This window comes from Homo sapiens, chromosome 7 (genome assembly GCF_000001405.40).
Source record: "Homo sapiens chromosome 7, GRCh38.p14 Primary Assembly".
Lineage (NCBI taxonomy): Eukaryota > Metazoa > Chordata > Mammalia > Primates > Hominidae > Homo > Homo sapiens.
In genome coordinates this window covers 127,593,390-127,610,262 of record NC_000007.14, presented here as the reverse complement: position 1 = coordinate 127,610,262, position 16,873 = coordinate 127,593,390, and the positions used below count along the sequence as shown (strand labels likewise).

Here is a 16,873-nt window from a genome sequence, read left to right as displayed (position 1 = left end):
CATGCTCCAGGGGCATGTTTGCTTGGTCCTTTTGGCAGTAAGTTCCAAACCTTCTCAATTCTGTCCCTTCAAATAAAGGTCTAGGCCCTTCCTGAGAAGTCTCAGGATGTGGAGAAAGGGAGGAATATGGGGGAAAGGCGGTGAAGAATCGGATATTCAGCAAGGAGGATAGGCTCATCCTTCCAAATTCTTTCCCTTTTGAAAGTCAGGCGATGGATAATGATGGTGCAATGCTGGTCGGCGGGCGGGGAGGTGGGGGCATTGTTTACTCCTATCTGGGATAGGTACTGATCCAGAAGACGTCATTCAAGAGGCCTCTTCATTATCAAATACTGTGCTGTGCTGAACTGTGCTGTTAAATAAGTAGCCACCAACCACATGTGACTATTTAAATGTAATTCACATTAAAAAAAAAAGAAGAATGCAGTTCTTCACTCACATTAGCCACATTTCAAATGCTCAGTAGTTACATGTGGCTTGTAAGGACTATCGAGCATTTCAGTCATTGCAGAAAGTTCTATGGGACTGCACAGCTCTAGAATGAAATTTCAAGGGTAATAGAGCACATCTTGCCCCTGCCTTGCCTTCTATACTTTCAAGCTGGAGGTCCTGCTAGGCAGAACAGAAAGGAGCTGTCTCAGCTGAGGCCTCATGGTTGTGGTGGTAGTGGCAACCCATCTTGAGCTGCTGCTGTGAAGATGCTGGCTGCAGATGGGGAGGCATGGCTGGGGTTGTGTGCTCTGCAAGGACAGCGGGAACCCGGAACAGGCAGGAGCCACGCCCCCAACAGAGTTGGCAGGGTGGGAGCGCGGTGCTCCTGGACACAGCTGCAGCTGCCTAGCTGTGGCTCCAGACCCAGGCATCCCTGCACTCTCAGGGGCACAGGAAGCCCCTGCCCCACAGGCTTAGAAGTGCCTGCTCCCACTCCCTGGCTTCTCCTTGCCCCCAGAGTCCACTCGGTTGTGGAATAAAGTTGTGGCTGCACCTGGGCACTGTCATGACCTGGCTGGGTGTGTGCATGCTCTGGGTGGCACTGACACACCAGCCCCCCTACCACCTTGGCCCCCTCCAGACTTTGGGTGCCAACAAGTGCAGGAGAAAGGCCAGAGGGAGGGGACTGAGGGCATCTTAGTGTGGGTCTGCAGGCACCCCTCAGCACAAACAGCCTGGGTGCCATGGATAGCATGTTGATAGTGGGAGGCAGACAGGTTCCTGGGCGGAAAGGGGCAATTCTGCAGAGAAACCCCACCTTTAAGCCAAGAATGGCCTGAAGCCTGGGGGCCAGGCTGCCAGTTCTGGGTGAAGTAGGAGGCCCAGAGTGAGGACTTCATTGTTGACCCTTTGGCCAATCGGATGGTGCTTTTTCCAGACCTACCCATGGCCACTTATGGACCAGTTAGCACACACTCCTCCCTTCTGAGCCCATAAAAACCCCAGGACTCAGCCAGAGTCACACAGACATTGGGACTACCAGCTAAGGGAAGGAGCTACCCACCTCAGGTGTCCTCGACTAGTTGAAATGACCTGCCGGCAGAAAGGACCTACCTACTTCCGGTCTTCTGAGAGCTGTTCTGTTGCTCAATGAAGCTCCTCTCTGCCTTGCTCACCCTGCAGTTGTCCACATACCTCATTCTTCCTGGACATGGGACAAAAACTCCAGATCCACCAAATGGTGGGACTGAAAGAGCTGTAACACCAACAGAACTGAAACACTCGCACACACACACTCACCATGTTGTGGGTGATGAGAAAGAGAGAAGAGCTGTGGCCGTTCAGGGACCCCAGACATAGGGGTTCCCCGAGCCAGGGCTGTGATACCCTCTTTGGGGCCCTGTGGTTCCTGGCATCTCCAAATTTCCAGGCACCACTTCATTCCCCAGCACCTGCAGTGGAAGCTTCTTGTGGTCCTGCTGAAGCCTTGCACAGAGCCGGCATCTGTACCAGCACCTGGAGCTGCCTGCCCCCCACAGCCGGCATGCCTGGCTGTGCACAGTGGCTAGACCCCCCGCTTGTTCACACACCCCTCACTGCTCCACTCCTGGCTCACTCTTGGCAGGTGATCCAGGACAGTAGCACGAGCTGAGTGCAGGCTGCTAGGCCGAGTGTGTGGAATGAGCCCAGCAGCCTGAGCAAAACTCAGGCAAAGGCACCACTAGCCACAGAAGTTTCCGGCTGGAAAAGCAACCCCTCAAGGATCCCGTGACAGTTGGCCATGTGGGGAACAGGGCATAAGATTGTGTGTGTGTGTGTCTGTGTGTGTGTCTGTGTGTGTGTACATGTGTGCATGCATGTGCGTACACACATGCATGCCCATGCACCTGAGTGTGTGCAGTATTCCCCGCTTTGTCCATGGTTTTGCTTTTTGGGTTTCAGTTACTTGTGATTAACTGCAACCTGAAGATATTAAATGGAAAATTCCAGAAATAAGCAACTCATTGATTTTAAATTGCATGCTGAGTAGCTTGAGAAATCTTGCATCTCCATATTGTCTATGCTACCTGCTCACTAGTCAGTAGTAGTCTTGATTATCAGATAACTGTCTTGGCATTGCAGTGCTTGTGTTCAAGTAACCCTTATTTTACTTAATAATGGCCCCAAAGTGCAAGAGTAGCGATAGCGGCATTTGTAATAATCATTCTATTTTACTATTAGTATTGTTTACTTCTCACTGTGCCTAATTTATAAATTAAACTTTACCCTAGGTGTGTATGCATAGGAAAAAAGAGTATATGTATGATATTGTACTATCTGTGGTTTCAGGTATCTGCTGGAAGTCTTAAATGCATCCCCTGCAGGTAGCTGGGGGATTAGAATACTGAGGGAGAGATTCGGCATTAAATGACCTCCAAGGTCCTATCTCTCTGAAGAGCATATCCCACTGCACATATGTGGATATAAAATTTCAAGGTTAATAGAGCAATATCTTTTTTTTTTTTGAAACACGTTATTTCTCTGTTGCCCAGGCTGGAGTGCAGTGGTGCAACCTCAGCTCACTGCAGCCTCGACCTCCAGGCTCAAGCAATCCTTCTGCTTCAGCCTCCCAAGTAGCTGGGAGTACAGGTGCACACCACCATGCCCAGCTAATTGTTTTGTATTTTTAGTAGAGACAAAGTCTCACTGTGTTGCCCAGGCTGGTCTCAAATTCCTGGGCTCTAGTGATCCTCCTGCCTCGGCCTCCCGAGGAATACAGGCGTGAGCCACTGCACCCAGCAAGTGGCCTATTCTTAATGCTTTCTAGGAAAGGAGATGCCCTCACCTCCAGTGTTCTCACTTTTCACTTACCTCACCTATTACTGGACTGAAATTTTTTAAAAATTATTTTATATCTCCTGAGGGGTGATATACTTACAAAAAATAAAGTCATTTTCCTCTATCCAAACTGAATCTCTCTTATGTTCCAGTTTCAGCCTTCTCTTGTCAACAGATTTAAAAATCAGACATTCATTATGGTATGGGGCAAATTTTCCAAAGTGGGGAATAGGCAGCACTGTTGGTATTTAAGAATGTTTTAGGAAGCGTGTGTATGTTGATTCAAATAATATTGAGTCAGAAGTGAGAAAATTATTCCCTTTTCAACTCCCTTTCAATTCTGATTGTATCAAGGAGAAAGTTTCATTTTGGTCCTAGTCTTTGGTGCCACTTTAATAGTTGTTGGCCGGGTGCGGTGGCTCATACCTGTAATCCCAACACTTTGGGAGGCTGAGGCGGCCAATCACTTGAGGTCAGGAATTTGAGACCAGCCAGGCCAACATGGCGAAACCCTGTGTCTACTAAAAATACAAAAATTAGCCGGGCGTGGTGGCAGGAGCCTGTGGTCCCAGCTACTCGGGAGGCTGAGACAGAAGAATTGCTTGAATCTGGGAGGTGAAGGTTGTAGTGAGCCCAGATCATGCCACAGCACTCCAGCCTGGGCAGTAGAGCAAGACTCTGTCTAAAAAAAAAAAAAAAAAAAAAAAAAAAAGTTGTTCATCTCCTTTATTAGTAAAGGGAAAAGGAACCTCAGGCTCTGAGCCTTGGGCAGGGAAGAAAAGTTTAACTAGGATTTTATATCATCACTTTATTTTCATTATCCAGGTGCACCTCATTTTAGTGCACTTTGACTTTGCTTTAGTGCATTTCACAGATACTGCTTTTTTTTTTAAACAAATTGAAGGTTTGTGGCAAGTCTGTTGGTACCACTTTTCTAAGAGCACGTGCTCACTTTCTGTCTCTGTGTCACATTTTGGTAATTTGGTAATTCTTGCAGTATTTCAAACTTTTTCATTGTTATCTGTTATGGTAACCTGTGATTAATGGTCTTTGATGTTACTATTGTAATTGTTTTGGGGCGCTGCAACTCACACCCATATAAAATGGTAAACTTGGCTGGGCTTGGTGGTTCACGCCTGTAATCCTAGCATTTTGGGAGGCCGAGGCAGGTAGATCACTTGAGGTCCGGAGTTTGAGACCAACCTGACCAACATGGTGAAACTCTGTCTCTACTAAAAATACAAAAATTACCTGGGTGTGGCGGCACTTGCCTATAATCCCAGCTACTTGGGATGCTGAGGCAGGAGAATCCATTGAACCCGGGAGGCGGAGGTTGCAGTGAGCTGAGATTGCACCACTATACTCCAGTCTGGGTGACAGAGCGAGACTTTGTCTAAAATAAAATAAAATAAAATGGTGAACTTAATTGATAAATGTGATGTGTGTTCTGACTGCTCCACGGACTGGCCTTTCCCACTTCTCTCTCCCTCTCCTCAGGCCTCCCTAATCCCTAAGACAACAATATTGAAATTAGGCCAATGAATAACCCTACAATTCCCTCTTAGTGTTCAAGAAAGGACAGTCACACATCTCTCACTTTAAAGCAAAAGCTAGAAATGATGAAGCTTAGTAAGGAAGACCTGTTGAGAGCTGAGATAGGTGGAAAGTGAGGCCTCTTTTGCCAAACAGTTATTAGCAAATTGTGAATGCAAAAGAAAAGTTCTTGAAGGAAATTAAAAGGGCTACTCCAGTGAACCTACAAATGATAAGAAAGTAAAATAGTGTTATTGCTGACAGGAGAAAGTTTTAGTTGCCTGGATAGATCAAACCAGCCATAACACTCTCTTAAGCCAAAGCCTAATCCAGAGCAAGGCCCTAACTCTCTTCAATTCTATGAAGCTGAGAGAAATGAGGAAGCTGCAGAAGAAAAGTTTGAAGCTAACAGAGGTTTGTTCATGAGGCTTAAGGGAAGAAGCCATCTCCATAACATAAAAGTGCAAAGTGAAGCAGCAAGTGCTGATGTATTATAGAAGCTGCAGCAAGATCTAGAAGATCCAGCTAAGATCACCGATGAAGGTGGCTATACGAAACAACAGATTTCAATATAGATAAAACAGGCTTCTATTAGAGGATTCCATCTAGACTTTTATAACTACACAGGAGAAGTCAATGCCTGATTTCAAAGTTTCAACAGACAGTCATTGACTCTCTTGTGAGGAGCTACTGCATCTGGTGACTTTAAGTGGAAGCCAGTGCTCATTTATCATTCTGAAAATCCTAGGGCCCTGAAGAATAATGCTAAATCTACTCTGCCTGTGCTCTGTAAATGGAACAACAAATCTTGGATGACAGCACATCTGTTCATGGCGTGGTTTATGGAATATTTTAAGCCCACTATTGAGACCTACTGCTCAGAAAAAAATATTGATTTTAAAATATTACTGCTCATTGACAATGCCTTAATTGAGAGGTAACCCAAGAGCTCTGATGGTGATGTGTAAGGAGATTCATGTTGTTTTCATGCCTGCTAACCTAACATCCATTCTGCAGCCTGCAGATCAAGGAGTAATTTTGACTTTCAAGTCTTAGTATTTAAGAAATACATTTTATAAGGCTATACCTGTCTTACATTAGTGATTCCTCTGATGGATCCAAGCAAAGTAAATTGAAAACCTTCTGAAATGAATTCACCACTCTAGATGCCCATTAAGAACATTCATGATTCATGGGAGAAGGTCAAAATATTAATAGTAACAGGAGTTTGGAAGAAGTTTATTCCAACTCTCATGGATGAGTTTGAAGAATTTAACACTTCATTGGAGGAAACCACTGTAGATGTGGTGAAATAGCAAGAGAACTAGAATTAGAAGTGGAGCCTGAAGATGAGACTGAATTACTATAATCTTGTGATAAAACTTGAACTGGTGAAGAGTTGTTTCTTATGGAAGAGCAAATAAAGTGTTTTTTTTTTGTTTTTTGTTTTTTGTTTTTGTTTTCTTTTTTAGACAGAGTCTTGCTCTGTTGCCCAGGCTGGAGTGCAGTGGTGTGATCTTGGCTCACTGCAAGCTCTGCCTCCCGGGTTCACGCCATTCTCCTGCCTCAGCCTCCCGAGTAGCTGGGACTACAAGCGCCCACCACCATGCCTGGCTAATTTTTTGTATTTTTAGTAGAGACAGGGTTTCACTGTGTTAGCCAGGATGGTCTTGATCTCCTGATCTCATGATCCGCCCGCCTTGGCCTCCTAAAGTGCTAGGATTACAGGCCTGAGCCACCGCGCCGGGCCAGAAAGTGGTTTCTTGAGATGGAATCTACTCCTACTGAAAATGCTGTGAACATTTCTGAAATGACAATGGAAGATTTAGAACATTACATAAACTTAATTGATAAAATAGCAACAGGGTTTGAGAGAATTGATTCCAACTTTTTAAGAAGTTCTGCTGTGGGTCAAAAGCTATCAAACAGCATCACACACCACAGAGAAATCATCTGTGAAAGAAAGAATCAATCAGTGCAGCAAACTTTATTGTCGTATTTTAAGAAATCGCCACAGCTACCCCAACCTTCAGCAACTATCACCTTGATCAGTTAGCAGCCATCAACATTGAGGCAAGATCCTCCACTGGCAAAAAGATTATGACTCACTGAAGGTTCAAATGATCATTAGCATATATATGTATATTTTTGAGATGGAGTCTTGCTCTTTTGCCCAGGTTGGAGTGCAGTGGCGCCATCTCAGCTCACTGGAACCTCCGCCTCCTGGGTTCAAGTGAGTCTCTTACCTCAGCCTCCCGAGTAGCTGGGATTACAGGCATCTGCCACCACACCCGGCTAATTTTTTGTATTTTTAGTAGAGATGGGGTTTCAAACATGCTGGCCAGGCTGGTTTTAAACTCCTGACCTTAAGTGATCTGCCTGCCTAGGCCTCCCTAATGCCCAACGCTAGGATTACAGGTGTGAGCCACTGCCCCCGGCCGATCATTAGCATTTTTTAGCAATAAAGTATTTTAAAATTAAGGTATGTACATTGTTTTTAAGACATAATGCTATTGCATACTTCATAGTATACTGTAAGCATAATTTTTATATGTCTGGGGAAACCAAAAAATTTGTGTGACTTATTTTATTGCCATATTTGCTTTATCACAGTGGTCTGGAACTGAACCCACAATATCTCTGAGGTATACCTGTATTTATTTTTATAGTCATTTTCCACTTATGGTAAGTGATACTGGTTTTCCATTTTATGATAGTGAAAAAATATTCCTTTCTAAATAAATGTATTTAAGAGTCTATGTCAATAAAAACATTAATAGGGCAGATGGTAGGTAGATAAAGGCCAAAATCACAAAAACAGTGTAAGAATGACAGACATTTTGGAAATCCTGCTTTGACTGAAAGAATGGTGGACATTAGAGTTGGATTTGAGTCAGAAGCCTAGCTGTGTTGTGATTAGTCATGAGATCTTGGGCAAATCACTTTTGCTGTCTGTGAAAGGTAAGAAGTCTGCCGGTCACGGTGGCTCACACCTGTAATCCCAGCACTTTGGGAGGCCGAGGCGGGTGGATCACCTGAGTTCAGGAGTTCGAGACCAGGCTGGCCAACATGATGAAACCCCGTCTCTACTAAAAATACAAAAAAAAAAAAAGTAGCTGGGGTGGTGGCGGGCGCCTGTAATCCCAGCTACTTGGGAGACTGAGGCAGGAGAATTGCTTGAACCCGGGAGGCGGAGGTTGCAGTGGGCCAAGATCACACCACTGCCACTGCACTTCAGCCTGGGTGACTGAGCAAGACTCTGTCAAAAAAAAAAAAAAAAAAAAAGGTAAGAAGTGGTGGAGGAAGTACCCACTTCACTGGAAAAAAGGTAATGATGGGTGGGGAAGTTAAATAAATCGTGGTAGGAGGAGGTAAAGTGGCCTATACAGGCATAAGGTGTTATTACCATTATCCTGTGCTCACGAGATTAACAATCTTTCCTTTTTTCTAAACCAAAAAGATATTTAAAGTCATAACTGGATTCTAAACCCTTCAGGGCAATGCTGGCTGCTCATGGGTTCACTGGAAAAAGTCTAGCAGTTCTGGATGGGGACGGGGAAGATCAGTGGAAGAACTGCTTGCCATTTGGTCTCTCCTGTATAGAACTTAGAGCAGCCTGGGGTGTCTGTTTCAACCCTCATCCAGACCCCTATTCTATATTGAGTCAGATGCACACAAGGATCTTGGGGGTGGCCTGTTGTGATGTATTGTTGCATAAAACAGGTGTTTTGCTAAACTGGGTAGGAAAAGTTGTAACAGATGTTCTTCTCTTGGATCTTGACTCTGAGGTTCCTGGTCCATTTAGTGTAGTAGTTTTTCCTGGAGGATTTGGATTTTGGTAGGTGACATCCCATTGACCTGGAGAGGAAAGAGGAAATATAAATGGTCAGCAATCAAGTCAGTCATTTGCTGATCTCTGGCTTTTAGAATACTGGGTCAGATCCTGTGGGAGAAAAAGAATATAGTGATTTATCCTATTCTTGATGAGGGATCCACCCTAGACACATGTGAAGTTAACTTAAAGGAAGAAGCTTAATAGCTCTTGATTCCAGGTCTGTGTGATGTAAAAAACAAAGCACTTTGCACAATAAGTCAGGAAAGTGAGGTCCATTAGGAAGGGACAGGACAAAGAGCAACAAGGTGCCCTGAAGAGTGTGAACAGGGAATGATGGAAGGGAAGCGCCACGTTATAAAAGCAAACTGTGGAGATGAGATTGGATGTCGGAGATGAGATTGGATGGACAGATCTGGCAGCAGGAAATGCTTTCGGGGAGCCCTAGAAGCAGTGCTTCTGGAGAAAAGCCTGGAGCCAAGTGGTGGCAATGGTAATTAAGAAGGAGCAAGCACACAAGAGGCATTGTTAAAGAAGTAGCCAAGTATTTGCAGGGTTTGATGAAGGAAGTGAAAGAAAGGGTGGAGAGATCATGCTGAGCTCTTGAGCCTGAGCATTTGGGAGGAGGGAATGCCCAAGATGGCCCTGGGGAAGGCAGGAAAACAGGATCACCTTAGGAAGGGAAGATGAGCAGGCTGATATCAGCTATGTTGATTTTTAGGAACTGGCAGGACGAAGTCAAGTCAACTGTCTATCAGGAGGTTGGAGAGACATGACATTAGAGGTCAGGAGAAGGGTTGGGGCTGAGGAAAATATTCAAGAGACCCAGGGGTCCAAGAGGTAGGGATAGAAGGTGCAAAGGATAGAAAGCACATCTTTTTTTTCACCTACACACATGATCAAAGTCATCCGTTTTCCCTAAAAATAGAGTGAAATTCTGCATCTTAATGGAGATAGAAATGTACAAGAACACCTCACCCTGTCCCCTCCAAGCGTGCTTCCAAGCCCACCTGTCAGTGTGGCATAGCAGTGGGAAACTGTCTCCCCTTTCTAGCAAGCCCAGGTTTGTAAGCTCTAAAGAAATGGCACAGATTAGGAATAAATGTCTGGAGTTGATCAAATTATGGGACAGAAGTCAGCCTGGGAGTGCATTTTGGTCTTCCCATCACATGCCTCCCCACCCACCTCCCTTCTCCTCTTGCCCCATGGCTTCTGCTCCCCTAGCCCCTTACCTGTTCCTCTCCCTTACCTAAAATTCCCAGATACACTCTCTGGTAATGTCTTCACTGTCTGCCAACAGGGTGCCACTTTGGTCGGCTCGCATGTAGAAGCCATTGGGGGCCAGTACAGTGAGTAAGTTGCTCCCCTGAAGCTCGATACAGAAGTTGAGGGCAAACTTGCCCCAAGGGCGAAAGGTGCCAAAGGATGTTATTGACCAGAAGGATCCCCCCTGTGCTGGAGAAGGAAGAGCTCAGGTTGGTGGGCCATTCACAGGGGAGTCCTCCAGCGATCTGGCCTTGGAGGGACTCTGTGGAGGCATGCCACCCTCCCCTAGCTGCCCCATCCTGCCTGCATTGGCGGGTCCTTCTATGGAAATGCAGGAGCGCCAATAGGGATTCCACTGTTTTCTGTTCTGCCAACCCACCCTGGGGCTTTGAAGTGTGAAAACAACAGAGGTCCTGTTTTTCCTTTTTTTTTTTTTTGGAAACGGAGTCTCGGTGTGTCGCCCAGGCTGGAGTGCTGTGGCGTGATCTTGGCTCACTGCAAGCTCCGCCTCCTGGGTTCACGCCATTCTCCTGCCTCAGCCTCCCAAGTAGCTGAGACTACAGGCACCCGCCACCACGCCCGGCTAATTTTTTGTATTTTTAGTAGAGACGGGGTTTCACCGTGTTAGCCAGGATGGTCTCCATCTCCTGACCTCGTGATCTGCCCGCCTCAGCCTCCCAAAGTGCTGGGATTACAGGCATGAGCCACTGCGCCTGGCCTGTTTTTCCTTTTATAATGAGCAAGCCCTGAGTGGCAGGCCCTGAAGTCTGAGCTGGGGCTAAGGCAGGGACTAGACTGTGAACCCTTGGGCAGGGAAGAGGAGCCACTCACCCTGGAAGTGGTAGATACCCGGTCGGCAGGGTAGTAGATGAATGCGGTCGGGCTGATCCTGGTTGCACTGTATGAGGTCATGGCCCGATGAGGAGCCCACATAGCCATAACGACCTCGCAATACAAGGAAGGAGCGATTGGCAAATAAAATCCCAAATTCCTCATTTGGGCCTGAAGGAAATAGGAAGGAGTTATCTGGATGGGCTGCCTTTAGGTGTTTTCCCAAGTGGAAGCAGGAGGGGGGACGCTAATTGCAGAAGGGTGTGGTCAATATTTTAACAGTGAATGAACACCTACTATGTGTCAGGTCTTATGCTAGGTGCTTGTGAAATGTTTGTGAGAGTACCTAGCACATGCGAAACCCAAGAAGCTTTAATATTCTTCCTTCCTTTGAGATGTGTTGATGTGTTTAATCCTCATGACAACTCTGTGAGGCTGCAGAGTTGTAGACAATGAAATGTTCATTTTTATAGACGACAAAACTGAGGCTCAAGGAGGTGCTTTGCTCAAGTGATGACAAAAATTCAGTGACTGAACAAGTACAGACCCAAATCTTCCGACCCCAACTCCAGTACTTTTTTTTTTTTTTTTGGAGATAGAGTCTCGCTCTGTCGCCCAGGCTGCAATGCAGTGGCACGATCTTGGCTCACTGCAACCTCCAAGTCCCAGGTTCAAGCAATTCTCCTGCCTTAGCCTCCTAAGTAGCTGGGATTACAGGCCCGCACCACCATGTCTGGTTAATTTTTGTATCTTTAGTAGAGATGGGGTTTCACGTGGTCAGGCTGGTCTCAAACTCCTAACCTCGTGATCCACCCACCTCAGCCTCCCAAAGTGCTGGGATTACAGGCATGAGCCACCACGCCCGGCCTTCAGTGCTCTTTTTAACAATCATATTCCACCTCCCTCTAAAGTTCTCCCTGACTTGGAATCATCTGGCAGGAAGGCTGCTCCACTCACCTGGAAGGATGACATTGGCCATCAGCAGGCTGTTGGGTGCAATGCCCAGGAAGCGCCCCCTGCAGGACTGCAGGATGATCCTGCCACAGTTCCAGTGCATTCGGAAGAACGTGTCAGACTCCAGGGGGTGCCCATCAGCCATTACTGCCCTGTGGCGCCTCTGGAAAGAATGTCAGAAACAGAGATGAGGAGTAAGGACTGACAATCTCAGCTTTCTTCCCATCAGTTTTATTCCTAGACCCTCTTCCCACATCCCACTCATCAGCCTTTTTCATGCTCCCAGAGTTGATGCTTTCAGAACCTTTTTGGAAGATGTGCTGTGGCCTCAGCTCTTCCCCTTCCCCCAGTCTGTGCTGTATCCCAGAGCACAGCATAAAAACTACGCCAGGATATCATAGGGAGAGAAATAAACCTCAGTCTTGACTCCAAAATCATTTTAAAGTAGATCATAGGCATAAAAGTGAAAGTTAAACTATGAAACATCTAGAAGAAAACATAAGAGAAGTTCTTTGCAACTTTGGGGTAGGCAATGATTTCTTGGGACAAGAAAAGCAGTAACCATTTAAAAAAATTGATAAACTGAACTTCACTGAAATTAAAAACTTGCTTCTCAAAAGATCCATTAAACAAATAAAAAGGTAAGCCCCAGGTTTGGAGAAAACTTTTGCAATACATATATTTGGCAAAGGACTTGGATTTAGAACACATGAAGACCACTTACAACGCATTAATAAGACAAACAACCCAGTAACAAATGGCAAAGCATCTGAATAGATATGTCACAGAGAAGATATACAAATGTCCAATGAGCACATGAAAACGGGCACGGTGGCTCATGCCTGTAATCCCAGCACTTTGGGAGGCTGACACGGGCAGATCATGGGGTCAGGAGTTCGAGACCAGCCTGGCCAATGTAGTGAAACCCCATCTCTACTAAAAATACAAAAAATTAGCTGGGCATGGTGGCGCATGCCTGTAGTCCCAGCTACTTGGGAGGTTGAGGTAGGAGAATCTCTTGAACCCAGGAAGCGGAGGTTGTGGTGAGCCGAGACTGAGCCACTGCCCTCCAGCCCAGGCAACAGAGCAAGACTTCATCTCAAAAAAAAAAAAAAAATTCTAAACCTTACTAATTATAAGGTAAATGTGAATTAAATCCATAAATTACACACCCACTAGAGTGGCTAAAATAAAAAAGACAATCCAAAAGCCAGCTTTACTATTGGTGAGGATATGGAATTCTTAGAACCCTCATACGTTATTGACAAGAATGTAAAATAGTATAATCACTTTAGAAAACTGACACTTTCTTCCAAAGTTAAGCACATATCTATTATACAACCTAGTAATTCCACTCCTACATATTTACCCAAGATAAATGAAAATGTATGTTCACAAAAAGACTTGTACATGAATGCTTATAGCAACTTTATTCATAATAGCCCAGACTAGAAACAAGCCAAGTGTTCATCAACAAGTGAATAGATAAACAAATCATGTTTATGAGCAGCATTATAGAATACCACTCGGCAATAAAAAGGAATGAACTACTGACACACGAACATTATGTGAACGAACCTTAAAAACATTGTGCCAAGCACAAGAAATGTATGTACCATACATACTGTATGTTTCCATTGATCAGAAACGCTAAAGTAGGTAGGCAAATCTAATTCACGGAGACAGAACACAGATCAGTGGTAGCTGGGAGAGGGAGGCAAGGGTGGAGGGAAACTGACTGCAAAGAAGCAGGAGGAAAGTTTGTGGTGTTGGAAATATTTTCTCACTTGTGATATGCTTACGGCATGGTTGCATGGATGGATACATTTGTCAAAACTTACTGAATTTTATACTTAATAGGTGCATTTTATTTATAAAACATACATAATATACTTATTTGTAAATAATATACATAATTTATACATATGTGTATTATATAATTTACAAACTTTCAAATTATACCTTAATAAAGTTGATTTTTGTTTTTTTTTTTTAAAGGAGCCCCCATTGGGTGAAAATGAATGTTTATCAACAAGTGCCTCCACAGCCCACATCATCCTCTCATCATTTGCCTTGAAAAAGGAGAAGGAAGTCTAGGGAGGGAGAGCTCAGAGCTTAAGGTTTCTCTTGCTCAGGAAGCCAAGGTCTCACCTGGGATAGGTAGTAGCCATTGGCTGAACGAAGCTGCACAGTGGGGCTCTCACTGTCACATTCAAACTGGAACAAGGACATTCGGTTTAAGCGCTCAGAAGCAGCACGCACCTCACCATCTGCAGAGGAAGCGCATGTCAGTAAAAGCCTCCCCTCAGTCTCGGCCCCTCCTCCATGTTTTATGACCGGGGCTTCTGTCCCTCCCTCCTCAAACTTCATCACTTTCTGTTGGACCATGGTAGGTCTGGAGAAGACCTAGGCAACTTTCCCCTAAATCCCATACCCATGCTTTTCTGTCCTTCTCGATGGCACAAAAGATCCCCTTGGGTCCCCAGGATCTTCCTTATTAGCAGACTCAAAAATCTGTGCTGATCCCAAACACATTTTCCTCTTTTTAACAGCCAGCCCTCTCTCCCTCCATCTGTGTTGGGTCCAGCACTTGCCGTAGATGACTGAGATGAACCGCCCAGTCTTTGACCTGAGGCTGACCCAGGTTGGGCAGTGCTGTAGGATGAACCACTCCTCACCCCTCATGGGGTTGCAGCCCATGCCCAAGAGCAGATGCGTGCCCTGTGGATATAACATGCCTCCTTCTCCATCACACAGTGCCACAAGCCCTCCAGGCCGCACTTGCATGTGAAAAGCTGTCTGTGATGAGGGTTGGGAGAACAGCCGGTCTACATGGGACAAGAAGTGGTGTGTAGAGGTCTCCAGGTGGTAGCATCCATCTCGGAAATGCAACAGGAAGCCACACTCCTCCAGGCAGGGAACTGCTGCGTCCACCCAGATGCGGCCCATAGTGGGGTCAGCCCGGGCATAGCAGCGGTGGATGGGGCTGTAGAGGATCACGTGGACATGGAGGGCTGGTCGGGGGGTCCACATGTGGTAAGCTGAGAGGACGTGGGAAGTGCAAAACACGTCCTTGCCATTGGACTCCAAATAACGACCAGAGATTAGGCACTGGAGGGTCCACTTGCTGTTCCGGTGGAAACGCAGTAGAAAGCACCCATGGTGGCTGGTCCTTGGGCGGCCATAACACACGGTGCCATCACACTCACACAGCAGGTAGAGGCCCTGCACGCTCTTTAGTCGCACCACGGCCTGTGTCTCATGCTCATTGCTCACCAAGATCTCCCAGGTCTGGAGGCATCAGGAGGGAGAAGAGGGAAATCAGTATCACGAAGTTACCAGACCAAGGAGCCCTGCAACTGTCATGGCTGGTATCACCCTGGCACCTTCATCAGCACCAGCCACCTCCTCTTCCACATCAGCCCTGGTATCTCCTTGCTGTCAGCTCTTCCACTTTCCCACTATCCCCTCATCAAGAGATCTCTGGGCCCTTCCACCCCTGCAGCCAGATGGCACTATCCAAAGAGAAGTTCTAGATGTCTACCTCCTTCAGCTAACAGAAGGTAAACCCTCCCTCCTTTCTTAATCCCACTCTTCAATACCTAATTTTTAAAGAAACGCTTTGGTGTAAGTCTTACTTTTTTCTTCCTCACTGTTGTCCGCAGAGAGCACACTTAGCCAATACCTCCATCCCCAAAGGTTGCCTTCCAGCATGGCAAGACAGAAGCAAAAGCTCTTATAGGCAGGCCCTGGCTCCAGGGATGAAGATGGGAGCATGAACAGTTCAGATGCAACTGCCTGGTTCAGCTGTGATCAACCTTGTTATAAGAGGAAGAACTTTGCCCCTGCCTCAGTCTGGCACCCATCCCAGAGGTGCCTACATTCCTCTCTAGAATGAAGACCGACACTGCTAGGGCTTCTGGAGTTCCCCATTCTCAAACCACAACCAGAACAGAAACATAGGCTTTGCAATAACTCCACTGGTCCAACTTCCCCTGGATGCCCACAATTCTGCTTTCCCACCTGGGCTCTCCACTTCTCCTCTTTCTGACACAACCACCCTGTGCTCTCCACTTCTCTTCTTTCTGACACAACCACCCTGTGCTGGGATGGGGAATAGGGACAGTTAGAGCAGGACAAGGCAGCAAGGGCAAGGCTGAGGCTTCACCTTGCGGAATAAATTGAGAGGTGGGAGATGGGGCAATAGGGTCTGTGAACAAAAGCCTAGAGTAGAAAAGTCTCAGGCCTGGCACTGGCAGAACCTAGGAAAGTGATTAGGTTGAGAGTACACCCTGCTTTCATATACAGGCAAGTGCGCACACACACACACACACACACACACACACACAGCTTGGCCACTCAGAAAACTGGTTCCAGTATACTTTCATATACAGGCAAGTACACACACACACACACACACACACACACACACACACAGCTTGGCCACTCAGAAAACCGGTTCCAGTATACTTTCATATACAGGCAAGTACATACACACACACACACACATACACTCACGCACACACACGCGCGCGCGCACACACACACACACAGCTTGGCCACTCAGAAAACTGGTGCCAGCATGGGTTTGCTTTGTCACCTGTCTCCTGCCCAAACTCTTCGCAGTTGCAGTGACTGTATTCTTGCATGCCTCAAAGGTGAGGTAGGTTCCTGCCCAGCTGATGAGCCCAACCCTTAGGTCCTCAGCCTTGGGATGTCTGTGTATCCACTCTGTCTCATCCATGGGGCTGACACCACAGGTGATGTCTCCGTCTGGCCCAGCCCTCCCCCCCGTGGTGAGGTTCCACAGGCCATAGGGCCTGGAATAGGGCCTGTAGTACCCACCAGATGTTCCCAGAGAGAACTTCCCAGGCAGAGGCTGGCCTGGGGCCCAGCACCTCTGTGACCCGGGAGCATTGTGACTGTGAGGGCAGCCTCTTATCACACCACAGTGGGGAAAGGGCCCTGGCGCAGCAGCATTAATCCATGGCCTAGAGGAGGCGGGTGCAGAGCCTCCGGTGTTTGCCTTCCTATTCCCCTTTGGGCACCAAAGTAGGCTGAGCTGAGACCAGGATCCGGAACTTCAACCTGTGAATTTAGGCAAGTTTTTTCCTTTCTTTACCTCCGTTTCTCATTCTGGTAACAGGATAGAAAGCAACCTCCTTTCTCCCAAGGAAGTGAGTTCTGCCTGGCTCCCTTGCAACTCAA

At 46.5% G+C, this 16,873-nt stretch overlaps 1 protein-coding gene across 1 annotated transcript, besides 1 other annotated feature; it reads right to left on the bottom strand.

Moving 5' to 3' along the window:
- Window positions 322-822: an enhancer, noted in NCBI's record as "H3K4me1 hESC enhancer chr7:127249495-127249995 (GRCh37/hg19 assembly coordinates)". NCBI's record gives its function as "activates a minimal SCP1, AML or CMV promoter by ChIP-STARR-seq in primed H9 embryonic stem cells {active_cell/tissue: H9 hESC(primed)}" and the evidence as "EXISTENCE:reporter gene assay evidence [ECO:0000049][PMID:30033119]".
- On the bottom strand, window positions 8,119-16,527 carry FSCN3 (fascin actin-bundling protein 3). The gene is made up of 7 exons (NM_020369.3): window positions 16,266-16,527; window positions 14,260-14,956; window positions 13,817-13,935; window positions 11,669-11,828; window positions 10,712-10,882; window positions 9,864-10,069; window positions 8,119-8,640 (listed from the first exon to the last, which is right to left on the bottom strand). Exons 1-6 carry the CDS (start codon window positions 16,407-16,409, stop codon window positions 9,864-9,866), a joined length of 1,497 nt encoding a protein of 498 aa, NP_065102.1. The 5' UTR covers window positions 16,410-16,527; the 3' UTR covers window positions 8,119-8,640.
- Window positions 16,528-16,873: the final 346 nt, after the last annotated feature.

Bases quoted from the DNA above. Each gene is read 5' to 3' on its own strand.
- FSCN3 (NM_020369.3), bottom strand. From the start codon at position 16,409: ATGGATGAGACAGAGTGGATACACAGACATCCCAAGGCTGAGGACCTA. The intron at 11,829-13,816 runs GTGAGACCTTGG...CATTCTTTCCAG, and splicing joins ATGGCTACTACCTATCCCAG to AGGCGCCACAGGGCAGTAAT. The intron at 10,883-11,668 runs GTGAGTGGAGCA...TATTTCCTTCAG, and splicing joins GGCCAATGTCATCCTTCCAG to GCCCAAATGAGGAATTTGGG.